The following is a 26,132-nucleotide window of genomic DNA, read 5'->3' on the forward strand; positions in this document are numbered from 1 at the left end:
TAATGTTAGTGATATTTTACTGTATTCTACTTGGAATAATGTTGGTAAAGTTTATAGAGTTTTCAGTTGTGATCGCTCATGCCATAATTACGTACCTGTGCTGTCTAAAATATATCCACTAGTCACATGTAGCTATTTACATTTAAATTAATTAAAATAAAGAGTTCAGTTACTTGGTCATACTGGCCACATTTCAAGTGTTCAGTAGCCACGTATAGCTAGTGCCTACTATGCAGGACACTGCAAATATACATTTCCACATCATCACAGGAAGTTCAGTCAAGTAGTGCTAAGCTAGATGTGCTATATCCTGAAATTCTCTCTTTACCTTCTTCCTCCCTGCCTCCATTCTTTCCCTTCCTTCCTTCCTTTCCAAGACATGGTCTTGCTATGTTGCCCAGGCTGGACTCAAACTCCTGGACCCAAGTGATCCTCCTGCTTCAGCCTCCATTGTAGTTGGAATTATAGGCACATACCACCGCACCTGGTTTATTATGAAGTTTCTTACTCTAAGGAAAATGTCAGTGAAAGTTTTATTTCATTTATGTTTTAACCCACGTTATCTTAAAACCTTACCATTTGAAATTGAACATATAGGCCAAGTACGGTGGTCATGCCTATAATCCCAGCACTTTTGGAGGCCAAGGTGGGAGAATTGCTTGAACCCAGGAATTTAACACCAGTCTGGGCAACACAGGGAGACCCTATCTCTACAAAAAATAAGCAAATTAACTGGGTGTGGTGGCTTTTGCCTGTAGTTCCAGCTATGCAGGAGGCTGAGGTGGTAGGATTGCTTGGGCCTGGGAGGTTGAGGCTGCAGTGAGTCATGATCATGCCACTTCTCTCCAGAAAGAGCAAGACCTTGCTTCAAAAAAAAAAAAAGAGGGGGGAAGGGAGGAAGGAATTTAGAGAACATGCAGGTCATTGCACAGAATGGAAGTATACCTGTATGTGTTATTAAAGTTTGTGATACAGTGTTTGTTAGCCTACACACAGGCCAATTGGTTATTTTTTAAGTAGCTTTTATCCATCCAGTGTGGAAATACTGAATATTTATGGCTAGGTCCTGAAATTTAGACCTCAAGAGTAGTCATTGGTTCATCTCTAAGTCATGAGCAGTTAGCTGTCTGTTCATTAGTGTGTCCTTAAAAAAATCAGTGTTTTGAGTTGGGGAAGTTGTATCTTTTAGAAAATTGAGATAAGGATTAGGAAGCTGTGATTGGTTTTCTTTTTCTTTTTTGTTTATCCATTTCTCATGGTGGAATTTTTTTCCTCAATTATTTGTTCTATTCATTGTTAATGCATTTTATTCAAAGACTCCCCAATTTCTAATGCTTTTCTGGGAATGTTTGATCTTTCTGTAATTTTTCTTTTCTGTGTATAAACAGATTGCTCTTCATTGCTATGTGTTTTTTTTTTTAAATCATTTTGTCTTCTCATTCTCTGCTTTTATTATTGAGGTTTGGATCTCCAACTTGCTGTTTCTAAACTTTGATGATCTTATATAAGTTTCATGAGTCATGAATTGACAGCTGGTCATTAATTAACTCTAGCTACATATTAATGACAAAATATGTAATACAGCATCATAGAGACCATCAGTGTGGCAGGTTGGAAAGCAGGTAGCTTTTTGTGTATTAAATGGTGTTTGGGGGGATCTACTATCTGGAAAAGTCATTGTAGTGATTTTTTTTTAATGCCATTTTGAAACTTTTTAAAGCCCCTAACATTAAGAAAAATACTAAGGGACATAATTTTCACTAAAGTTTACTCTTGAATTTATTATTAACATCTTATTAGAACCAATTGAATTTGGAATTATGTTCTGCTCTAAGGAAATGTGTAGATAAAATTAGGAGATTAACAGATAATTAACAAATAATTTGAAAGGTATTGTTTTTCATCATCGTTCTACCAAAGTATTGTTAAAACTGCCAGCAGAAACCACGGTCAGCTGAGTTGATTTTCCTTTTTTCATCTATTGCCAGCCTGACTAATGAATTTCTTTGTGTGTGTGTATACATTAAAAGTGAGCATAACAAGAACGTGCACAGTTGCACATTTTTTCTTTTTCTTTTTTTTTTTTTTTTTTTTGAGACGGAGTCTCGCTCTGTCGCCCAGGCCGGACTGCGGACTGCAGTGGCAGTGGCGCAATCTCGGCTCACTGCAAGCTCCGCCTCCCGGGTTCACGCCATTCTCCTGCCTCAGCCTCCCGAGTAGCTGGGACTACAGGCGCCCGCCACCGCGCCCGGCTAATTTTTTGTATTTTTAGTAGAGACGGGGTTTCACCTTGTTAGCCAGGATGGTCTCGATCTCCTGACCTCGTGATCCACCCACCTCGGCCTCCCAAAGTGCTGGGATTACAGGCGTGAGCCACCGCGCCCGGCCTGCACATTTTTTCAAAGCCTCTTGAATCCGTGCTAACTCAGCGTCATTTCCACTTGTCCTTGAGAACTGAAGCATTGAGGCTCTGCTGTTGCAAGTGTCCGTTGCTGTCCTGATTTGGTGAATGTGTTAGAGATGTTTATGGTTCCAGGTTATATGCATGTTGTTGTCTATTCTTAGGAAGTATTTCTCCTTTGTTTGCATACTCTGAACTTTTAATAACTAAAATGCCTGGTTCCTGTTGAATATACACGTAGATGACTTTCTCAAAGAGGGCCTTACCTAAGAGGCCTCTGGCATATTTTCTGTGATAAAGATGATGACAATCAGCCTTTATACCAAGTGGCATTTTATAGAGTTGCAGTAAGTGGATTATCTTCGCTTATAAATGGGTTGTTAGCCATGAAACTATTCTTTTAAGATGTGGTAACACAGTGTGGTAAATAGAAGATTGCATGGTTCTGTAAATGCTGAAAACTGCTCATAAGTGGGGTGCAAGCACAGCCCCATATGGACTTGTTAGAAGGGAGTACTTCCAGTAGGAAAAGCTTTGCAGGTGACAATCAGAATAAATGGTACAGGATTTTGTTACTGTAAGCCATCCAACCTAGTATACTCATATCTCACCTCAGTATACCTCACTCAGTTCTCCCCAAGTGCCAGATCTTTAAAAAGAAAAAGAAAACCATTTGATGAGGTCACTTTCCTACCTGAATGACTTAACTGTTGCTCTGTGATAGACTGAAAGCCTCACCGTGGTCTACAAGGCCTTTTGTGGCCCACCCTTCTCTATAATTAGAATGTCCCAAGTGACAGCCTGGCCTGTATACAAGGCCAGATTTGCAGCTACTCTTAAAACAATAGTCATTGTTTATTAAGCACTTACTGTATGGCAGGCACTATTCCACACATTTTATGTGAATTAACTGGTTTAATCACAACAACTCTACAAGCCAATTATTATTAGCCCTGTTTTACAGACGAAAACACGGAAACACGTAACAGTTAAGTCATTCAGAAGTACGTAGGAAATGGCAGTGCTGGAATCTCATCCAACCCACTTAACCCTAGACCCACGTTACTATCTGAGATGAGATTGGCTCTCCATGTAACCTATAACACCACTGTTCATAATTTCATATTTGTCGAATTATTTGAAGCCTCCCCAAGACTCTAAGCTGCATGAACCGTGCATGTTTAGAGCCCATTACAAGCACCTGAAGTGTACTGGGTGGTCAGTGTGTATTTGTTGAATGAATGAAAATGATTTGATGTGATGAATCACTGAGCTTAAACATGAGAATAGGGTCTCTTTTATAAACAAAACATTTAACCCTTTAGTTCATTGTCATTTGTAAAATGGGAGAATGATACTGAAATTTCTGTATGCCTACTGGATTCTAATACAAAAAAAAGTGTAACTTCATAATGGCTGAAGATTTGTTTTTGTTTTGTTTTTATCTCAAGTATAAGAATAGACATTAATTAGTTTATGTTCAGTAACACCCATCCTTAATGTCAATAATTAAAATACATTGGCATATGTAATCTAATTAAGGTTATGTTTACAGTAAATTGTTATTTTGTTGAAAACCTTTTAAATAGCAGTTGTTACCAAACAAAAATACACATTCTAATTTTGGCCACATTAAATTTTTTTTATTTCTAATTAAATCTATGTAATTATTAATAGTGGAGTTCAAAGTAAAAGAATTACAAAAATGAAATTTGATAAGGAAAATTGGAATTTATAACATTAAATTTGTAATCATAGCATTATTATTTTGAAGATACTTGGCAGCTCAACTTTTTTAAATTCTTACTTTTATGATAGGCTATAATTAAACTAGTTGTTTCCTATGTGAATATATGTGGATATGATATAAGGAGAAAATTGTATTATATTGTATGAGGTATAGAGACAATATTAATTGTATCTTGCAAAGTAGAATTGTTTTCCTTTGAGATTGTTACTAGAGTAATAAATCATGTTGAAGTGAAGAAATTTACACAGCATATGACTGAATATTTTCCACTGTATCAAATTTAATGGGTTTTGGGAAAACGTATAGTTTGGTAGCAGTATAGAACTGAGTTTTTGGTAAAACTGAGTATTTAAAGGACGAAACTTTGAAGGACTTTGAGACCCATAAGACCTACAGATATTATTCAGCTTTCTGAGCAGTATTCTAGTTTACTAAGAATGTGGAAGGTAATGTGTGGTGGTGAGGCAAGGGGTGTTGAGAACACAGTGACCTACATTCCAAATACAACTCTTCTAAACTATAAGGCAGAGAATAGACTAAGTAAGGCATAATAAGTTAGGACCTGCCACATGGCAAACTGATTTTGGGAAGCAGTCTAGAAAGATGCTTGAAAAATGTACTGATGTGTAATGCCAGCAGCAGGCCATTGTCATGGTATGGAATAATGGTGACTGAAAGTCATTCTCCCTTGCTTGGGATGATCTGTCTTAAGCATGAGCAGCTTGAGGCTGAATTGTAGACAATAAAACGTGAGTCCAATGACAGTCTTTGTAGGTTGAGTAAGAGTATTTGTGTACTAGCCATTTTAGTTGTAATGCATTCACAGAATGATTACAGTCAGAATTACAGTAACATTTTAAATACAAAGGAGACTATCTTCCATGTCAGCTTCATAGTTCTGTACCTATTCCCAGCCCTGTGATATATTCCATATGAAACGTTACATCAGCATCCTTATATAAAGCATACCTATAAACTGGGGTGGGACAGAGAAGTAGTGGCCAGAGAATGGAGTTTGTCACGCTATGATTCAGCCCGTGGGAGTGATTTTCACACTGCCTGTCAGCTTCGTGCGATAGTTAAAAACAATTTGCAAGTGACATAGTAGAGCCTTAAGGCCATAAATAGGAATTTTTAACTGGCACAAAGCCTTTTTTTAAAAAAAAGCACATTTGTATAAACCAGTGTTTCTATATAGTTTCTCATTTACTGGTTGTCTTCACCATAATCTTTGGAAGTGCATAATCTTATAATCATTATGTGTGTTTTACACATGAGAAAACAGTAAAAGAAATCCATGATTTGCCCTAGGATCCTGCAACTTGTGAGTAATTCAGTCAGAATCCAAACTTTAATTTTCTGATGTATAAAGAAAAGGCCTCTGGTTGGATCATACTGTTGCTATGAGTTAATATGGGAGGTGTCATATGCATAAAGTACCCATGAGTTTAAAGTTTTGGTTTGTTCAAGTAAAATGTTTATATAATTATTCAAGTTAAATTTAAATAAACACATGCTGAAAGAACTTGAAGGTAAAAATAGTTTCTGCAAATACTATTCCACACTTTTTCTTTATACCACTTTGAATGCTGAGTAAGGACATTGTACTGGACCATTGCCCAGCATAGTTCTGGCTTATAGAGACTTGATGGTGAAAGAAAGACTGAGAGAGAGAGAGAGAGAGAAGAGAGAGAAGGGGGAGGGAGGGAGGAAGGAAGGGAGGAAGGAAAAAGATTTGACAAGGGAATGTGTTTTTTAAGAGAAGCTCTTTGGGGAATAAATATAGTCTTGAAATACACCATGTAAAATAAGTTTAGTAGAAAACTATGGAGATATGCCTAAATCATAAATGAAAATATTGATTCGTTTCTTCAGTTGTGGAATTATTCATTTCTGATTTCTTTGCACAGGATCAAGCTATATTCTAGGTAGACCCTTTATGTTTTTCAATCTGTTCCACCTATATCCACAAATTTATTACTGCCACCTACTAAATTGTTTATAACCATTGTATGATCTGATTTTTGTATACATGTGTTGCTAAGTAAGTTTCACATTGTCATGAAACCAAATTATAAAAAAAATTGGAGGCAAGGGGTGAAAGATCTAGGTAGTGTATGAAAGTTTAACCAGTATTTGTTGAGCCTACTATGTGCTGGGGCATCCTCTTTAACACTTCCTAGGCGCCATACCCTGACTAAAGTTCCTTCAGCTTCTCATCAACACTTTTCCGCATTTCCTTCTGAGATGACTCTTCATCTGTTTTTATTCTGACTGTTGAAGCTTTTCCAGAAATGGTGCCTTGCTAAATTCCCATATATACCATGTGCTCTTTTTTTATGTTTATTATGCCCCTTGTATTGTCCCACTACCTCTAAATAATGTGGGGAAGCAGTCACAGAGAAGAGAGATCATTGCCAACCCTGTTTTGATTCTGTTTGACACTCACTGTCTCACTTACATGCAGATATCCTTTCACCAGTAGGTTTATGGTAGGCAGCTTTAAGATAGCCTCCAGTGATCCCACCTCCTGGAATCCATGCCTTAGTGTAATCTCTGTCCCTTGAGCATGCCTGAATTTATTATTCATTTCTAATGAATAGACTATTTATTTGGGTGATTGTATATCACTTCCAATAATAGCAGTGTTAACAATATCTCAGTGTTACCAAGGATTATCAGTGATTGTTGATAGTGTTCAGGAAAAAGAGCTTAGAATTCACTCCTGAGTCAGGGAAAGAATGAAGTCTATGGGTGTTTAAAAGAGAGCTGTCCAAGGAGTGGCTGGAATCAGATAGGAACAGGTGTGCAAGGCAGTGTGTCTTCAAAAGATGTGTCTTCATTTGCATCAACTATTTTAACAACCTTGGGGAAGGCATTACATCTTTCAGAGCCGTTATTTCGTCATCTGTACAATGGAGTTGAACTTGATGATGATTGTTTTGATAAATCTTTTCAATTCACATTCTCTACATCCAGAAATCCAATATTTTACATTTTGATAAGATTTTATTTAAAACAAAGTTCATCCACATACAGTAGAGTCATTTTTTTTTCCTTCAGAAATCATTATTGTAGGTGTGAAATTTATATAACATCTAAAATCTTTTGATATTATTTCTCTGGGTGTTAGCATATCTGGGCTTCTCTTTTTTGAACTGCTATTTATAGTAACTTTCTAGGGTTTTGCTTTTTATAGTTATGGAGTTTTAATGTGGCCACACTATCTTAATCATTTCAAGTTTGTGTCCCTGACAAATGAAAGAGATTTCTGACGCTAAAACCTATCAATAACCCTTCTCAGAATTCCTTGCTAGAAGAAAATGATTGGCTGCTTGTCTTTTGTTCCTCCAGTGGAGTTGGTATGTCATCCCTGAAATCATCTTCTGTACCTAAAATGTTCCAGCTACCCATCGCAGCACTCAGAATGCTGATTTGGGGCTTCCCTGACTCCTCTGCCCCCTGCAGCTGCCTTAGCTGGATGCAGGGTTTTTGCTGAGGCTCTTCCCACGCTGGGCTAAAGATTTATTAACCCTTTCTTTTCAGTGTTACAGTATCAGAAATGAAATTCTACTCACTTGCTGCATTTAAACCTTATGTTATTCATGTCATTTACAAAATGTTCTTTCCTTTTGGAATCATTTGCAAATCAATTTAAGCTGTGTTAAGCAAGACAAAAGTATACATTTTAAAAAACATAATTATGTCCAGCGAAACTCTCACAGTCTATAGTAGGAAAACCTTAAGGTGAGAGGAGTCTGGATTCCTCAAGTGTGGCCCTAGTGCTAATGAGCTTCAAAACCCAGGCACAGCCAGTTACTTCACCCCCTTCCCCCGTGAGCAAAACAACAAAACAACTAACAGTGTGAATCATTTTTCTTCAGCTCTTGGTCATTATTAAGACAACAATTAGGGGAAGTGTTATTCTCAGATTGTCTTTTTAAAATAGACACATTAATGATACTATATAAAACCGTGAGATTTATTTAAAATATTTTCAATTTAAGGGGTGTGCAAATCATTAACACCAGATGGCATCTACCTAGGATTTTTTAAAAGGTGGATTTGGGATACTTGTAGCCAAAATGTAGAAATTTAGCTTATAAACAGTTACTGTGCCAACAGATTGGTCAGTGCAAATTGAACGTGTCGATGCAAGAGGATTTAGAGCTTTTGTTGTCCATCTTTCCTGCTAAGCTCTGGTACCTCCCTGATAACAGACCTGGTCACCAAATTGATTTAAAAAAAAAAAAAAAAGACGGCAAACAAATGTGATATTTACAAGAAAAAAAATACTAGAATATTTTAGGGGGTTAAAAGATGCATAAGTAAAGTCGATGAATTTTTCTTAGATTTTCAAAAAGCTTGTAACAAATTTCCACTTGTTATTTTTAAAAGAATGCTGTTGAGTTGTAAATGGTAAGAATAGCTAATTTGTCATAGAGGATTGAAGTTTAGAAAGGGGAAATAGCAAGTTGGGATAAGCAGGCATTTTTCTGGAGGAAGAAGTACAAATAGGATTCCTCAGGAGTCAATGTGGACAATAATTTTAAACATTGATTTAATCTGTCTTAAGGAGGGCATGAGTCTCTGTAGGTTTACAGTAGCAAATCCCCTGGAAGACTGATCTGACCACCTCCTGTTTATTCTCCTTGGCTCTGGATTCTCTCTTTTGTGTTCACATTGCTGGTCTTTATTTTGGAGAAATTCTTTAGTTGGATGTTAGGGAGGGTTGAGCTGTTCATGTATCTCCATTGATGGCATTTGTCAGGACCAGGTCAGTGTTTTATTTCTTTATCCCCATCTTCTACATCTACCTCCCACGGCCGTAGGCATTTCTAATGTGTTTAGTGTTTTTGTTTGTGTGTACTCTTGTATAATATGTATGTTGCATTATGTAAATCATTACATAAATGTTGTTATTCTCATTCAGTTAATATTTTTCACTTAGTTTATTTTAAAGATATGTGTCCCTGGGTGGTGTCTGTGTTAGCTTGTTGATTCTGACTGCAGTTGAGTATTTCATGATATATATCCATCCAGTTTTATCTCTCCCCTCCTTCTGTGATGGTTATTTAGATTGCATTCACCTCCTCACCATCGTAAAAAGGGGTGCGTGATCCCTTGGGACCTGTGTGACAGTTTCTGTGGGAAATATGCCTAGCACCAGAATTGCTGCATCATAGACTATCAGTACTCTTACTTTGCCTGAGCTGTGCGGTGCTGATACTCTCTAGAATGGCTGCATCCATCTATATGTCTCCACAACCCAACACTTAGCGTGGTTCAGTCTGCCAGGTGTAAATCAACTCATTTTCAGTTTGTATTTCTCTGACTACTTATGAACTTGATAATGTCTTCATCTGCTTGTTATCTTTTTTTGGGTATCCTCTTCTGTAAATTTTTTGTCCATACCTTTTGCCCAGTTTTCTACTGGGGGTTCTAATCTTATGTTGATTTGAGGGACATCATTATATTCTGGATATATATCCCTTATTATGGCGTTACAAAAGTCTTTAATATCCCACTTGTCTGTAAACTTTATTGAACAGAAATCATTAAATGTGCTATCAAAATCATCGTTTGTTCTCCCTTCACCCCCCACCCCAGCCATATAGCTTGAAGGTTTTGTTCAAATCCTTCTCTAGCCCTAGTTCTCAAGGTATTCTTCGTGCTTTCTTTTTTATTTTTAATTTTTATTTTTGAGACAGGTTCTCACTCTGTCACCCAGGCTGGAGTACAGTGAAGCAAGTATGGCTCACTGCAGCTTCGACCTCCCAGGCTCAAGCAGCCCCTCATGTCAGCCACCCTAGTAGCTAGAGGTGAAGTAGATGGAGCACAGGTGCGCATCACCATGCTGGAGTAATTTTTAAATGTTTTGTAGAGATGATGTCTCGCTATCTTGGCAGGGCTGGTCTCAAACCTCTAGGCTGAAATAGTCCTCCTATCACAGTCTCCCAAAGTGCTGGGATTACAGGCTTGACCCACTGCACCGGGCCCCTTTTTTTAACTTTATAGTTTTACTTTATACAATTTGGCTCTCTTGCACCTGGAGTCTACGTTGTGTCACTGCCCTGATTGAAAAAAAAAATCTAATGGCCTCAGTTGCCCACAGAGTGAAACAAGGCATCACAGGGAATAGGAAACTCCTCAGAATCTATCTCACACCTTCCCCCTGTTCAGATATTCCCATATTCTTATAAAAATAAGAAACCGAAAAAGCAAGTTATGCGAAGTTAATTTTTTTTAGCTGAGGAATCATCTTTGTCTTAATCTCAGTTGCTTCCTCTCCACTGGTTGCTTCTCCTTAAGTATCTTCTGTCTCCTCAGATTTTAACAACAGCCAGCAACCTGCCTTCACTTCCAGAGAGCTGTACTGGCACCCCCTCTCCCCCACACCAACCCCAACCCCGTTTCCCTTTGGCTTCCGCCACCCTGCTTCCCCTCCTGCCACCCTGCCCGGGCTTTGCTCCTGAGGATACTCTTCATCTGTCTTGCCCATCAACACTTGACAACCCACTCCATGGGAAAATTGCTTTCCTTCTTTGCCTGTTACAATAGTATTTTTTTCTGTCTCCTTTTGTCTTTCTGACTCTTACTACTTAAGTTCTGTTTCCAGCTGACCATTTTCCTCCTGCGTACCTTTTAACATTACTATTTTCTTCTTCTTACAGAAGTGTTATACGTGTTTACAGTAGAAAATGCAGACTAACCAAAAGATGGACTACCCATAATTTCATCATTTAGAACAGCTTTTTGGTTTTGTTTCTTTAAGAAAAGGGGATTATGCTTCATAGGCATAGTCTTTATACATAACCTTTATTTCCTCCCTACCTAATAATATTTATTTTCTAAACTGTTTATTTTTAATGTTTGTTTTAGTTTTTTATTTTAAATTAAAATATTGAAAGCCTTATAACAAATTATAACAGTCCTTTGACCCCCTTGTCTCATTCTTTTTGCCAGAAGTATATACTTTCAGTTACTTTGTCTATTTCTTCTGATACTCATCTCCTTATTTCTAAATAACATATTATTTTTTAAATCATTAATTTTAGATATTATCTATTATTGTTAATACATAGATGAGAATCTCTGCCTTATACCCCTTTGCTGTCTTCCCGTTTTCCTAATAATGACAGATCATAATTTTTTATTAAATTACTATTTATTGTTTCCATTATTTTGACTATATATATCATTCACCAGTGAGCCAAATAGTTTCTCATCGTTTTTTAAATCCAAGTGTTTTTTCCACCAGTGGAAATACCTGCCTCATTTTTCCATTTCCTTAACTTCGTTTTGATCTACAGCCAAATCTTCTCACACCCTCCTTTAGCCTCTTAGTGCCATTTTCCATGTGGTTACCCTAGCAGCTCATCAGTGAATCCCATTTAACCCTCACATTTGGGACCAGCCACCTGTCCTCCTTTTCCAGGCTGGACTGGTTGCTCTCTAGGCCTGCTGCACAGTGTCATTAATGCCTGAGTAGCCCTCTTCCAAAACTGAAGTCGGTGACACAGTGACGTTAGCAAATTGAGAGATTTGAGAAGGTCTCAAGAGGCTTCTAGTCCCTGTAGGTGTCTAGCACTGCTGCATGAGGGCATTGAGCAGCATTTGGCCTGGGCTTCTGTTTTGTGAGTGCTGCTCACTTGGCAACATGCTTTCCTCCTTGAGGTTTCAGGACTGGTGAGCTTTTCCTGCTAATCTAGGTCTTACTGTTGCCTTTCTCTCCTCTTCCCTCACTCTCCCCCTTTCCCCACCCTTGTGGACCCCTTTTTTCAGTCTTCTTTCATTCTCCAGTGTGATTATTGATTGCACTACTAATATTTCTTGGTCTTTGGGGAAGAAATGAATGGAGTCCAGGGGTGCAAAATTCATTTAAAATGAAGCTGACATTTTCATTTCAGTCTTATCAGGAGGGAGGCAGATTCTTGCCATGATAAAAGTTGGATCTTTTTTAATACAGTTTAGGAACTTTAAAAGGTAAACACTGATGAGAAGGGAAAAGCTATTTGTACTTAGCATACTGCTTATTCGACTTCAACTAAGAAGCTCATCCATTACACCAATTTAGGCATCTCACTATGTTTCTACTACTCTAGGACAGCAGAGTATATATTTATATTATGTACTTTTTTTTTTTTACTTATGGAGGGGAAAATGGGTTCTGTATAAAACAAGAAACAGCCCTAAAAAATGTGACCTTTATATAGTCTTACTTGAAGTTAGTTGAAATATCAATTGTGCCAAATAATATACTTGTAAACTACAGCGTTATTTGCAATGATATGAATAAATAAAATGTGTTAGTTATTTGAAAGTAGATGAGCGAATTATGAACCTGATATGTCTGAAGTGATGATTAATACCATTAAGGATGATTTGTTTTGTAATAACATATTTAAACTAGGTAATCATGGATAGTAAAGCACTTTAAAATATGGTAGTAGATTACTTTCATTATTCAGTTATTTAGGTTTTTAATATGAAATTTTCTAGACCAGTTGCAAAGACTTTTTCAAAGTACTAAATATCCCCATTATAAATAAAGTGCACTTAATGGTTCTTTTAATTTGTAAGCAAACAGCAAATGATTTTTTATAACCAAATAGAGATTTTAGTTTTGCTATTTGCTTGCTCTTTAACTTTGGGCAGATATTTAAACTGTTTTGAGCCTATGTCCTAATCAGTGAAGTGAGAATCGTGCCTACCTCTAGAGGTTTTGCAAAAACTTTAATGAGATGAAATAAATGATCATTGCTCTATTTTTTTTTTTAAAGTTGTGCATTTTTAGTAGTCAGGAAAACTATTAAATCAATGAGGTGGCCGGGCGCGGTGGCTCACATCTGTAATCTCAGCACTTCAGGAGGCCGAGGCAGGCGGATCATGAGGTCAGGAGTTCGAGAGCAGCCTGGCCAACATAGTGAAACCCCATCTCTACTAAAAATACAAAAAATTAGCCGGGCACGGTGGCGGGCATCTGTAATCCTACCTACTCGGGAGGCTGAGGCAGGAGAATCACTTGAACCCAGGAGGCGGAGGTTGCAGTGAGCCGAGATTGCACCATTGCATTGCAGCCCAGGTGACAGTGCAAGACTCCGTCTCAAAAGAAATAATAAAAATGAAGTACCATTTTTTTCACAGATTAGGCTGACAAACACTGGAAAGAATGATAAAACCTCATGTGGATGAGCGTTGGCAAGTTGGACTCACATTGCTACAATTCTTCTGGAGAGTTAAAAAAAAAAAAAAACAACAAAGCCCAGAAAGTTCACTTGGCTCATCACTTCTAATGTGCTATATAAGGAAATAATCAGACAAGTGGACAAAAACTGTTTTCTGCTGAGTCGCTTATACTCTCAAAAATTCTAAATATTAGTACATCAGACAATGAATTTTTTTGTAGCCATTAGTAATAACTATGTTTAAAAAAAAAGGAGTGTCCGGGTGCCGTGGCTCCCACCTGTAATCCCAGCACTTTGGGAGGCCAAGGAGGTCCTGACTTGAGGTCAGGAGTTCAAGACCAGCCTGGCCAACATGGTGAAACCTCGACTCTACTGAAAATACAAAAATTAGCTGGGCGTGGTAGTGGGTGCCTGTAATCCCAACTACTCAGGAGGCTGAGGCAGGGTAATTGTGTGAACCCAGGAGGCGGAGGTTGCAGTGAGCTGAGATTGCACCTCTGCACTCCAGCCTGGGCGACAGAGCAAGACTCTGTCTCTAAATAAATAAATAAATAAATAAATAAATAAATAAATAAATAAATAAGAGGGGTATATATGTATATATTTTTAACCTTTCATTATGGTAAATCAATATCAGTTTTAACATATATTTTCTTTTTTGTATACATTTTTACTTGAAAATATTTTATTTTATTTTATTTGAGATGGAGTCTCACTCTGTCACCCAGGCTGGAATGTAGTGGCGCAATCTCAGCTGACTGCAAGCTCCACCTCCTGGGTTCACACAGTTCTCCCACCTCAGCCTCCTGAGTAGCTGGGACTACAGGCACGTGCCACCACGCCCAGCTAATTTTTTGTATTTTTAGTAGAGACAGGTTTCGCCATGTTGGTCAGGCTGGTCTGGAACTCCTGGCTTCAAGTGATCCACCTGCTCCAGCCTCCCAAAATGCTGGGATTACAGGCTTGAGCCACTGCGCCTGGCCCAAAAATATTTTAAATAGAAATTTAAATAAACATTTGATAGTTTACCTAATAAATGCCATGTTATATTTTCTTTTTTAGCAGTGTATATTCATTTAAATTGAAGGCCTTGGCTGTAAGGATTGAATTTATCGATTCTGTGAATTTGTTGGTGCACCCCTCTTGTGAGTGTACTAAAAATCAAAAGTGGTGGTAGATCAGTCTCCTGTAAACATTCTTTTTCCTCATGGTCCACATCCATCTGTCCTCTGGTCTGAAATATCTATCTCCTTTTTCATTTTCACCTGTGCAAGTTCAGAAGTTTTTAATTTCTTGCTTTTAACCAGAATCTTGTCTTTTGTCTCTCCAGAATTCAGCCTTCACATGTTTACCTGTGTCCCCAAAATGTTCTTATTTCAGAACAAAGCAAGCTGACTGAGAAATTTGAGAGTCTCAGTCAGTGTCTCTCTTTCGCTCTCACTCTCTCTCGCCTTCTCTCTCCGTGTGTGTGTGTGTGTGTGTGTGTGTGTGTGTGTGTCTGTGTGTCTCACTCTCTCTGTCTCTGTCTCTTCTTTATCCTCCTGGGTAGGTGGTTCTTGATGAAGGAAACTCTCAAATAACCTATTATGAATTCTTCCTGTAAAAAGACATTTAGGTTCCTGCACTCTTGATAAGTTGCCTTTTTCATTATATCTTGAAAAAAATTAATGGTCTGAAGTCCCACTAACAGATTTTTTTCTATGCATTTTTAGTGATATGTTGATTTCCTTAAAAGAATAATTTGGTATTATACAGGTGTGCCACGATTCTTCAGCTCTAGGAACTTGAAGCAATTCAGCTTGGTTAAAGATGAATCAGGTTCTTTAGGCTATCCATTGGACAGTGCCTCACCTAGAGATGAAAAGATCCACAGGGCCAGGTGTCAGGGAAGGGGAACAGAGCTTCCACCCTGCAGGAACCTCCATGCATTCAACTATCGGGAAGCTCCTATGTATTTTTAAATGACTAGAGTGATATTCTAACAATACTTTCAGTGTTACGCAGTATTTGCATTTGTATTTGCATTTTGAGTGGCCTGCCTTTTCCTCTTGGTTCTTTGCCTGGTTTTTATCTTCAAGGTACCTTCCCTCTTTCCTGCTTTTTCTCTTTAGTTCACTTGCTTCTGCTTGCCCAATGCTAGATAAGAATCACACAGAGAAAATAGATACTGATTTAGGAGTTATATTCTCTTAAATTGTTTTCTTTTAATTCTCTAAAATCTGGCTTTAAAAAACAGTCTGTCAGTTATTCTGGAAACTCACAGAGTGGTGGTGAACAGCTTAGGAATCAGGTAGACCCAGGCTTGAATTTAAACTGTGTCACTAGCTGATTAACCTTAGGCAAGTTATTTCACTTCTCTGGCTCTGTGTACTCAGTTGTGAAACAGCGATAATGTGTAACTCAGTTTTGCCTTAAAGATTAAATGATATAATGTTTTAAAGTGCTTAGCACTGTATGAGTCATAGTATTCAATAGGTGGTTGCTGATGTTGCTATTATAGCATTAACTTTTCAGAGATGAAGGTAGAGGCCAGACATCTTATTTCAAATATCATTGTAACTTTAAAAATCCCAGTAAATGTTGCCTGTTCGGTATACAGTCAAAATCTCCCAAAACAAATCCACAAAACAGAAGTGTAGGGTGGGACACAGGTGCATCTGGTGTTTCGTAAGTATGAGCTTAGATATGGAGTGTGGTAGAAAAAGAATGAAGAGAGGATAATGGAGGAAGGGAAAAACTCAAGTCTTGTTTCTGACTAAATTTTTTTAGAAAAAGGAGATTGGATGCCTGCACTGAGGCAATGTGAGGATGGGCAGATTTTAAATTGTGCAGCTTTTGACACATTTTTATTTTTTGTTATTTTTATTTTTATTTTTTTGAGATGGGGTCTTACTATGTTGCCCAGGCTTTGAATTCCTGAGCTCAAGGGATCCTCCCACCTCAGCCTGCCAAGTAGCTGGGAATACAGGCATGTGCTACCAGGCCCAGCTTTTCCACACATTTTTTAGTCAATGTAAATATCAAATTACAATTGTTAGGTGACTGAGAATGGGGAAAATCAAAACCTATCCAGATAAAAAGCATTTTATAGTCCACTACATTCTCATGATGGATTCTGTACTTTGCTTCAGATTTTTTGTTGTGAGATGCTTTAAAAATGTTAACATTTTATCATGTTATCAGTTTTACATAGTTTTCCAAAAAGGTTAACTGTGTTGTGAAATGTAATTTTGTTTCTTGGGCTTCAGTTTTCTCTTCAGCATTCCTTTTGTAGTAGTGATGACTGGGAATCTCATGCACTCTGCTGATGTTGGCCTTATAGCCATCTTCCCCAGGATATTTCTTCTAAATGTCTGTGGATGCTGCAGTGTTAAACAGTGGAGATAGGTTGATAGGGCAAACAGTCTTGGCCTGTTCTAGAACCTTGACTCCTCTGTGCTCTGCTCTGATAAACTCCTGCTCAGTTTGTTCATATAATACTGTTGACCCAGTGCCTGCATTAGGTGGGTTGTGAGTGTTTTTTTTTTTTTTTTTTCCTTCAGGGGTGAGAGATTTTTGGTGATCATTCAATTCTGCCTCTGCTAACCAGGCACAGCTTTCTGCAGCACAGCTGATGGTGGTGACAGCACAGCCTGTGGCCACAGAAGAGAACAGAACTCCTGTGCTCACCTAAGGATTAAGCCCACGGGGCTGGTGCATTAGCTCAGTGCTCCTGGATTCAAAACAGTTGTAGAATATGTTCAGGAAGAACGGTAAAATACCCTCCAATGAGAGAGCCTGCGGTAGGGGTGCCTTCAGTGGTCCAAAATGGCAGTTACTTCAGATTCTCCACAATCTGAGCAGTTTATTATACTATGGTGGTAAGGGGAAAGGCTTGGTGAAGATTAATGTTAAATACATAAGATAAAATGACCCACTGATTTTTTTTAATTAAAAAATGGGCCCCTTTCATATCAAAACTGAAGATGGATACATTACCTGAGGGTGCACATCAGCCAACAAAAGTGGGTTCAGCATCCCCCCAACCCTGAACCCAGAGCAGTCCCAACAGCCTGCCCCATGTAGTACCTGTTAGTGAAGTACCACCTTTGACCCACCTTGCTCAGTTTCCTCACTTGTTCTTAAGAGAAATTAGTTCCTTGTGACCCAGTTGTGTTTCCAGCTATAGAGAAACTGTAACACCACTGGGTTTTAGCTGGATAACATTTTTAACACATGTCTGCATTTGAGTTAGAATAGCAGAGATCAGAGTACTGATAATCCTGAAGGATAATTGGGCCTGTGTCCACTGGCCTGGAGGAACACATATTTGTGTGAGTGGCCAAGCAGAGCACCACTGACCCCTCCTGCCATTGGAAAGCACAGTGGCCTTGCTTCAATGGCAGCGTGTTCTAAGTCATGCCATTTTACTTAGTCTTCATTCACTCGGTTAGAAATGAGGTCAATTATTCCTGAAAAAAAAATTGGTAATACTTGGACTAAATAAAAAACTGCACCTGCCCATAGATTTGTCTTAGACTTCTTGAATAAAATGAATGATGTTGGGACATACAGAATATAGACAGAGTTTAGAGAACAGGATGCATGAATTAAACAAAGTCTCACCTCTCCAGACTTGTATTTGCAACTTCTGATTCTGTTATGCACAACAGCATGTATCAGAAAGTGAGATAATTTCCCAGAAATGTTAGAAAGTTTTAATTAGTGTACTGATGCTAGAGAAAGCAGCCATGAAAGTCATCCTCAATACAAAGTTGCTGGCACTTTTATGGACAGTATATAAGGTAATTTAGTGTATTTTACATTCATGAATAATCAAGGCAGGTTAATCTTGCATATTTGTTTCTAATTACTCTATTTTTACTAGTCCCATCATTTCTCTTTCTCCTGCAAGAAGTTGGAATGTCCTAACCACAGTGCATCACATACACCCACAGAACAGTAGCAAATGAGGGCCCCAGTGTTTCTGTAGAGAAAGCAGTCACCCTGATAACTGCCGGTAATGACAACCTTGTTGACTGTACCAGTCAAGGTTTATTATTAAGTGTGCAGAAATTTTCATTTTTGACTCACAAATACATTTTTGTTCTTTCATAAACATGTATAATAGCAAAAAATAAAGATAACCCATCCTCATTAAACCTAAGTTCCATAAAGAAAAGACACAAAGCCTGCTCTGTTTATAGATATTTTGTTTCCCTGAGCAACAGAAAATGCAGTGCTTATTTAACTTAGCAGCAATGCCTTGTAAAAATATAAGCCTGCAGATGGCAATGGCCTCTATTTTTCTTCCACAAGTTTCTTCCAATTCAGAGCCCGTGCCTTCCTTCAGCCACAGAGCGCACAACAGCATGGATGAGATTGAGTCAGCCCTCTTACATTGTTGGCCTACAGCTATGGAGCTACCTTTGCAGAGTTGTCCACTTTGGGGTTTGAGCATGGGAAGTAAATTCAGAGATGCAAGTATCTGGGAGAGGGCATGAACTCGTGAGAAAGTCCTCATATTCTGAGCTCCTATGACAGTTTTGCCTTTAGAAGCTATCTCGTCTCTTAGCAGCTTTGTTTTGGGCAGAATGAATAGCAGAGGGGCAGGAAAGACCCAGAATCTTGATGCCCAGCCTCCCTGCTTTTACTCTGCTGCTTGATACTGCCTCTAATGAAGGAGCCGTTCTTATAGAGCAGTTACTTTGAGGCCTGAGAAACCCAGAAAAATTTATCATGACTGCTAGACCTGGGCACAGGTGGATTTTAGATTAGACTTGGCAGGGACAACAGGCATCTTGGAAACTCCCTAAGGAAGGGTCCAGATCAACAACACTGCAAACACCATATTCCCTTCAGGCAGGCATCCCTATTTTGCTGTACCAGGCCTTAATACTCTCTGGGTTGTAGCCTCCAGTGGTCCATTTGACTTCTGAGATGTATTAACAAGAAGACTAATATTACCAATGGTAACCGCTCACTTAACAAAAACAAAACAATATACCCCAACATTTATTGTTGCCTTGCAACTCTGCCTTTTTGGCCTCTCTGGATATCCACTGACATCATTTAAAATGAACCATTTTATTTCTAATTGCTACATGCCAGGTTGGTTTATATGTGTCTGTTTCTCAGCATTCCACAGATGCCACATTACTCAAAGCTGTGCTTTTGTGCATCTTCACAGATTTCTCTCTCCCTACCCTGCACAGCCTCCCTACCTGAGTTTCTCATCTAGCAGCTGCCTGCATGCCCTGCTGACATCCATCCACAGCACATGCCCAGCCAGCTGAGCTCAACTGCAGTGAATGTGGCTGTAGTGCCAGTGAACTGGCTGTGCTCCAGGACTTTGCCTCCCCTGCCATGCCATCTGATGTTAAGTGTTTTGTTGAAGAGGGAGATGTAAACGCCTCAGTGAGGGCACACCAAATTTCACAGATCTGTGAAAGGTGCATGATTATTATTTCAGTCTCTATTGTGTGCCTATTTTGATTCACTCTTATACTGTCTTCTGTCTGCACATCCACAGTATCACCATGCAGATGTTTGGCTAGGTAAGGTTTTCCTGTTTAAGGCAGGTGGCCTTGATCTTCCTACTTTTCAGTCCTTGGTATCATTAAGTTTTCAGGATCATGTGTAAGACCTCAGCAGCTTTCCTGAATGTGTGCCTCAGGAGCATGGTGGTTGGCATCAGGCAGTGTCTGAACAGTATTTATAAAGTGTGTTTGATGATGCTTACAACATTATTGAAGGTTTTCTGAGGGCTGGAAGCTCTTATCTAAGTAAAATAGAGTATTATGAAATCCAGTTAATTGACTTTGCTTTATTGCATTCATGCTGAAGAGTAGATCATCCACTTGGATTTTTAAAAAATCATGAAATGATTTTTTTTCATGATCATGAAATCCCAAGATGTTAGTGAGAACAAATGAGCCAATCATATTTTAGGAACTGTTCTTGATGATGGTTCCTGGAAATAAAGCACTGGACACAGAAGTGACCTCTAGTTCCATTTGCAGCTTAGGGTCCATAAGAATTCTGGTTCTGGTCTTTCTGAGATTGAAGTCTTCCTAGTCGCAGTAGGGGAGGGATCCCCAAAAAGTTTCCAAAGAAGTTAGAGCCCTCATTCCCAAATTAGTGCCCTGGGCTGGAAATTTTAGCTTAAATTGTCTCTCAAATCCATTTGAGCTTTGAATTTCAGTGACAGAAGGCCTCACCTTGAGTTCTCTAACACATACTTGTCTCCAAGTGAAGTGTCTTCTCATCACCCCTCACCTTCTTCCCGGTCCCCTTCCATGTGGATCGCTGCAGTCACTTCTAGTTGAAATCTCTGCTACCACCTGACTTCTTTCCAGTCCTGTAGCACAACTAGTCTGTAAAACATAAATTTTCCAAGTCACCTTTAGGGAACTGCCCAATTGCAATTGGTGCAGATGGACACAAAAGGTGGTTCAAAAGTTGGGTTAACCCGCATGCTGATAGGAGTTAATGGTGATGCAGAATATTTGTTTACATTTAGTACAACTTTTACAGTGTGTTAGAGATGGTTTTTGTAAGAATAGAAGTATACATTCATAAAAGCAAAGAATAGTAAGTTCTCTCTGTTTTAAAATAAACTTTGGACACAAATCCTCGAGACTTTCTGCTCTGTGGTCGTCTATTTATATATTAAGAATGCTGTGGGAATTCTTGCTAAGAAGTGTTAAAGACTTTAGGCCTGTAATATACCTCTCTTAGCTTTGCTATCCACATGTGTTTTGCATAATTCCAGCTAGGAACCTCCCCTTGGAGGAATTCTTCAGCCTGATTAAAAGTTTGAGCCATAACACATGTGAAGGAATTGGAAAAGCTCTTGGAAGCAACATTTGTCAGATGATGTAAGCAATATCCAATTTGTTAGCTGTACTTAACTATGCTTCTGCTATTTCATAGATGCATATCAACTCATGTAGAAGATATGTCAAAAGGAATTCCAGTAATGCGTTATCTTTCATTCAATCCATATTTACTTGGTGGCTGGCTCTAACGCTTCAGTGCAGAGTCCCTTGACTCTCCTTTTGCCTCTAATTTCCTCCCTCACCTAAGATTAAAAAATATTTTGATAATTTATAAACAAATACTTCCATGGCTAAGGAAACTTGCTACTCAAAGCAAGTCTCATGAATAAGAGGGCAAATAATATTTTTGTAAAATGAAGTTATATTCTCATATATAAACTCATATTTTATCAAATCCTGTTTTAAAGTGGAGATACACTTGTAATTTTTAATTGTGTTTTCAAAACTTAAGATCTTTCATTTCTCATTGAAATTTTATGTTAAAATTTTGGACATTCCAAGTATTTTAAACAACTTCTTTTTTATTGGAAATTTTAGCAGCTGAGCAAAGTTTGTATCATTCATATACTTAGAATTATTTTAACCCCACCACCCAAACTGCCTTTTTGTCTTTTAATTGTATACACAATTCTGAAAGCACTTTGTTCAGTTGTATTACCTCATGATGTGTTACTTTAGGACAGTGCTTGTCAACCTTGAATGTATACCACAATCACCTGGATAGATTGCTAAAAACAGGTTGCTGGGCTCTGTACCCAGAGTTTCTGATTCAGTAGGTCTGGAGCATTGCTGATGGTGCTGGACCATACTTTGAGACTACTGTTTTAGGATTTCTGGTAAATTCTGGCTTTTTTTTTTTTTTTTTTTTTTTGAGTAATGAGTTTGAGATATAAGAAAACATAGAAAACGTTTGCCATAGATTTTATAGTTCACAAAATTTAAAGTTCCTTTTTAACTTCCCTTTCTTGTTGTTCTCATAATATTGCATTTTTCTTACTTTGATTTAAATGTATTTAGTGCTGACAATGTGACTTGTATTACTTGATAAATGACCAATGTACATTTGCTACTTTAATAATTTGAGAGGTCATGAAGGGAGCATTCCAATGACTTTTATACTGTCAACATTGCGTTATTAGGAAGTCAATATAAACAAGTTCCTATGAAGTACACGGCCCAGGGCCTGACACATAGTGGACACTGAGTAAATGCTGGAATGAACAAATGAACAATTGTCCTACTTCCCCGCAGTGTAATAGTTACTCTTTGAAAACTTGATTGATCCAACTTTGAATATCTGAGAATTATCTGATTTATTGATCTTTACTATTTCTTTGCTTCTCATTCTTGTAGTCCTGAGGATGGTTGTCTCACTGGCAATTTAGCCCTTCTATTAGGAAGAGAGGAGACAAGTTAAACATAAAACTAAGTTTTCACTTTTCTCTTGTTAGTAGTACTTAATTATTTACTAGAATAGGTAGTATTAACTTAAAAGTTCTTTGAGGGTTGATTCAGGTTCATTTATTCAAGCTGGCCTTATGATCTTCTAAATATCCTTAAAAAAAAAACCAACTTTATTACCTAATCTGGAATATAAATGTATCGCAAATCAGATACTACTTTTATATCCTTCTTGCAAATTCACAGGAATTTCCAATACTCTGTTACTGCATTCTAACAAAGTTTATTATGAGAGTTCTGAAGATACTGAATATGTTGAAATCTCTTTAGTGCTTCATTTTCCAACTATTTCAGTGCAATTTCAGTGATGTTTTGTCTGTTTTTGATGGCTGTCCTGTGCTTAGATAATGGATAAGAGTTACGGTAGATTGCCAAGCCATCTGTTTGTATCAGTCTTCACAAAGATGCTTCTTCCAAAGGAGAAAATGGACAGAAGAGCTTAATAGTGTTTTCAGGTGGAAATTAAGAGTTCTTTTCCTGTTCTGGCACTGATAGCATGCTATAGAATAATTCTGTTCTGCTCCTGCTTACTTCATGAGGATGTTGTAAGAGTTGATTTAATAACTATTTTGAGTGGCTTAAGGCACTGATAGGAAAGGTACTTTGTTAGCCATACAGGTATAGGAAGAGTATGAGTTCTGCCATAGGCATGCTGAATATCTGGGAGGAAACCCTGTTGATGACTGGGAGACATGAAATCAAAACTGAGCTCAGGGACCCAGAATAAAATTTTTAGTGGGTAGCCTAGAAGTGATCACCAGAGTATTAAGATTCTACCCACCTGCCAAATGTATGCCTATCAGGAAAGCCAAAGACAACCACTAAGGAGCTCTTGGAGCTTAGGGGAAATCGGGAGATTGAACCCTAGTCATTTGTCCAGGGCTTCTCCGAGGCCCAGGTTTTTCCTCCTGTACTGTGCTGCCTGCTGACAGCTGTTGCAGTTGATAAACCAGTGAACAAAGTCTCTTCTGTACTCATGTAGCTTTCTCCTTGAGATTGGGGTAGGGAGGATTAGTAATGTATTAGGGGGTGGTGATAAGCATTAAGGTGAGAAAAGAAGCAGGGTGGGTGATAGGAGAAGTGAGGGTTTTGGAGTGGCAGGGAAGGGGGTTCATCAGGATCAGAGTCAGGTCAAGAAAGGCTTCTTAGGTGACGTGACTCAGCAGAATGAAGGAAGAGACAAAGCTGGGAGAGGGCATGCCAGGGCCTGGAACTGCAAGTGTAGAGGTAGTTGCAGGGAGGGATAGAGTGCTGCTGTCCCTGGAAGTACCGGTGTGGAGGAGGTGGGGTCTGAAATGTGCCCACCTTTCCACCAGCAGATCTGGTGAAGAAGACCATAAGTACACAGGAGGCGCATCCCTCAACTGTGAGCTTCAACAGCCCTGTTTTGAAACCTTAAGTAAAAGATTTGTAAAATAATAAGCCTGAACTTTTTCCCTCCAAGCTATACTGTGAAATGTGAATTTTAAAAAGAATGGTTGTGTAAATATGAAGAAAGTACTTTCAAATTAGATGATCAGACTGCGTTTCCTTCAGAATTGTGTTGCTTTGCTTGAACATGGCAATTGAAAGATCCCAGAAGCAAGACTGTGGACAAGTTATGCCCTGGCTTTGAGCCTCCAGTCACCTTGCTCTGCAGTGCAGTCCTTGATGTTAAGTGGCCTTCCTCCAAGCTTTAGGAAGCCTCAGTGCAGGTTGTGGTTGAGGAGATGAAGAAGGCCTAAGAGGAGCAGCTCCTGTTTTTATAATTTTTTGTATCAGTGCTCCCTCCCAAGGGTATTTAAGTAAAGGTATTAACAAAATTAAGAATTTGGCAGACAGCTCAGTTAGACGATCACCAAGGTCCTTCTCATTTCTAAAGTTATTTGAAGCTGCTGTTTTCATTAGTCCTTAAGTATATGTTGCTACCATATAATTTGGCCACAAAAATGTTTAGATATGTGTCAAAGTCCTCAGGGCTTCCTGACAGAAGTGCTTCTTGACTGATTGTGTATTTGGTACAAGGGCTTCTTTGGTGATAGTTTCTACTCTCTTTAAATACTGTTCTGTTATTTTTGAAATCTGATCAAGAATTGACACAATAAATCTCTTTGATATTTATACTTATGCCTACTTTTAACCTTTTAGGAAAACTTTATGAATTGGAATATTCTAAAATCCTGAAATAATTTGGAATATTCTAAAATTCTGAAGAGAATATGAACGGATTGTTGGAATGGAACTTTTACCCGATTCCCTCAGACTAGAGTGTTCATACGACATTTTGCCAAGAAGTTCCTATAGAGGCAATATCACTTTTAGGATGGATGGGTCTAAAAGGATCATATTTAGTTTCTGGTTATTCATGGTTGCACTCACTTTAGAGGATGTGTTCCTATTAGGTTGCTGCTACTATTTGTCTCTCCTAAATAACAGTATGGAATTATAGAAAGAAAGGTTGGGAGAATAGTCGTGTGATTCTCCTGGTCAGCATAAAGCCTGTTCCATCCAGCCACTGACTATTTTGTTCTTTCTTTTGCTTTGAAGGCCAAGATGACATTTCCATTACTTCGATGTTTTTATGTTCTATACCTCTCTCTTGCTCCATATATTTTGCAGTGGTGCAGATATATTGATCCATAAATGACTGGTATTACATACTGAATCAAGGTACATGCATTCAACTCTAGAGAGAATTGTTTCTGGGTGTTTTTCACTATGTGACTCACCACTGTGAAGGTATGAAGATGAGTTTATGCCGCTAATGGGGTAGCTTTGTTGTGATGTAATTTCAGTAGCTGCCCATGGCAGCTGTTAGTCGAAGGTAAATTCAAAGCCAGATGGTTTAGATATCACAGTGGTGAAGATCAACAGAGTACCGTGAAACCAGGACTCGGTCATGGCAACCTGAGACTGTTCTAGCTAACTCTTTCTAATGTGTTTCATCTGGCACTTTGCCAGTTCAGTCCCTTGCTTACCTTTCCCCATTTGAAAAACTCTGCTTTTGGAGGGAGAATGGATTACAGGTCTTGACAGAGGCTTGGACTCTTGACTTCTTGGTTTGTTTTTTTAAATTTAAAAAAGAATTTCAGTTCTTTTGTGACCATCACATTACTGAAGTTAACATTGATGTCTTGCTCAAACTTATTTTTTTTCTCTCACACATTTCAAAAGAACCAAGTTAATACATTGAATTGAGCAGTCTGATAAGAAGGTAGTGTGGGGGGGTCTCCGGGTCCACAGAATTTCCTTGAGTGTGGATTGCTGTGTAGGAAAAGCTCTCTAAATTTTTTCTGCTGGCTGAATGTAGAGTAATGTGACCCTGTTGCTCTCCGTGGTGAGCTTTCCATAATTGAGATATTCCTGGATTCATTGCCAGGAGTGGACTTCCTTTACCTCTGCTCTGCCACAGGGTGGCTGCTGCCTTTCTCCTTTAATAAGGTATGTTCAGTTTCCCCCACTCAAAGACCATTTCATCCCTTAGACATTCTACCCAGGACATTGAAAATAGAAACAAGGCCAGGCACAGTGGC

The 26,132-nt window shown here is 38.5% G+C and overlaps 1 protein-coding gene across 14 annotated transcripts in view, besides 2 other annotated features; it reads left to right on the top strand.

The window, feature by feature from the left end:
* PKP4 (plakophilin 4) overlaps positions 1-26,132 on the top strand; it is a 224,478-nt gene that overhangs the window by 25,007 nt on the left and 173,339 nt on the right. The window contains exon 2 of one of the 14 annotated variants that reach the window (NM_001377220.1): positions 16,882-18,123. The exons of the other annotated variants lie outside the window; for them this stretch is intronic. The gene's annotated coding sequence lies outside the window, so the exon portion shown is untranslated. The remainder of the gene's footprint in view (positions 1-16,881; positions 18,124-26,132) is intronic. 14 annotated transcript variants of the gene reach the window in all.
* Positions 7,399-7,693: a silencer, noted in NCBI's record as "tiled region #8835; HepG2 Repressive non-DNase unmatched - State 19:H4K20, and K562 Repressive non-DNase unmatched - State 8:EnhW". NCBI's record gives its function as "represses a minimal TATA promoter and a strong SV40 promoter by Sharpr-MPRA in HepG2 and K562 cells {active_cell/tissue: HepG2 | K562}" and the evidence as "EXISTENCE:reporter gene assay evidence [ECO:0000049][PMID:27701403]".
* Positions 15,011-15,512: an enhancer, noted in NCBI's record as "NANOG hESC enhancer chr2:159353481-159353982 (GRCh37/hg19 assembly coordinates)". NCBI's record gives its function as "activates a minimal SCP1, AML or CMV promoter by ChIP-STARR-seq in naive H9 embryonic stem cells {active_cell/tissue: H9 hESC(naive)}" and the evidence as "EXISTENCE:reporter gene assay evidence [ECO:0000049][PMID:30033119]".

This window comes from Homo sapiens, chromosome 2 (assembly GCF_000001405.40).
Source record: "Homo sapiens chromosome 2, GRCh38.p14 Primary Assembly".
Taxonomy (NCBI): Eukaryota; Metazoa; Chordata; class Mammalia; order Primates; family Hominidae; genus Homo; species Homo sapiens.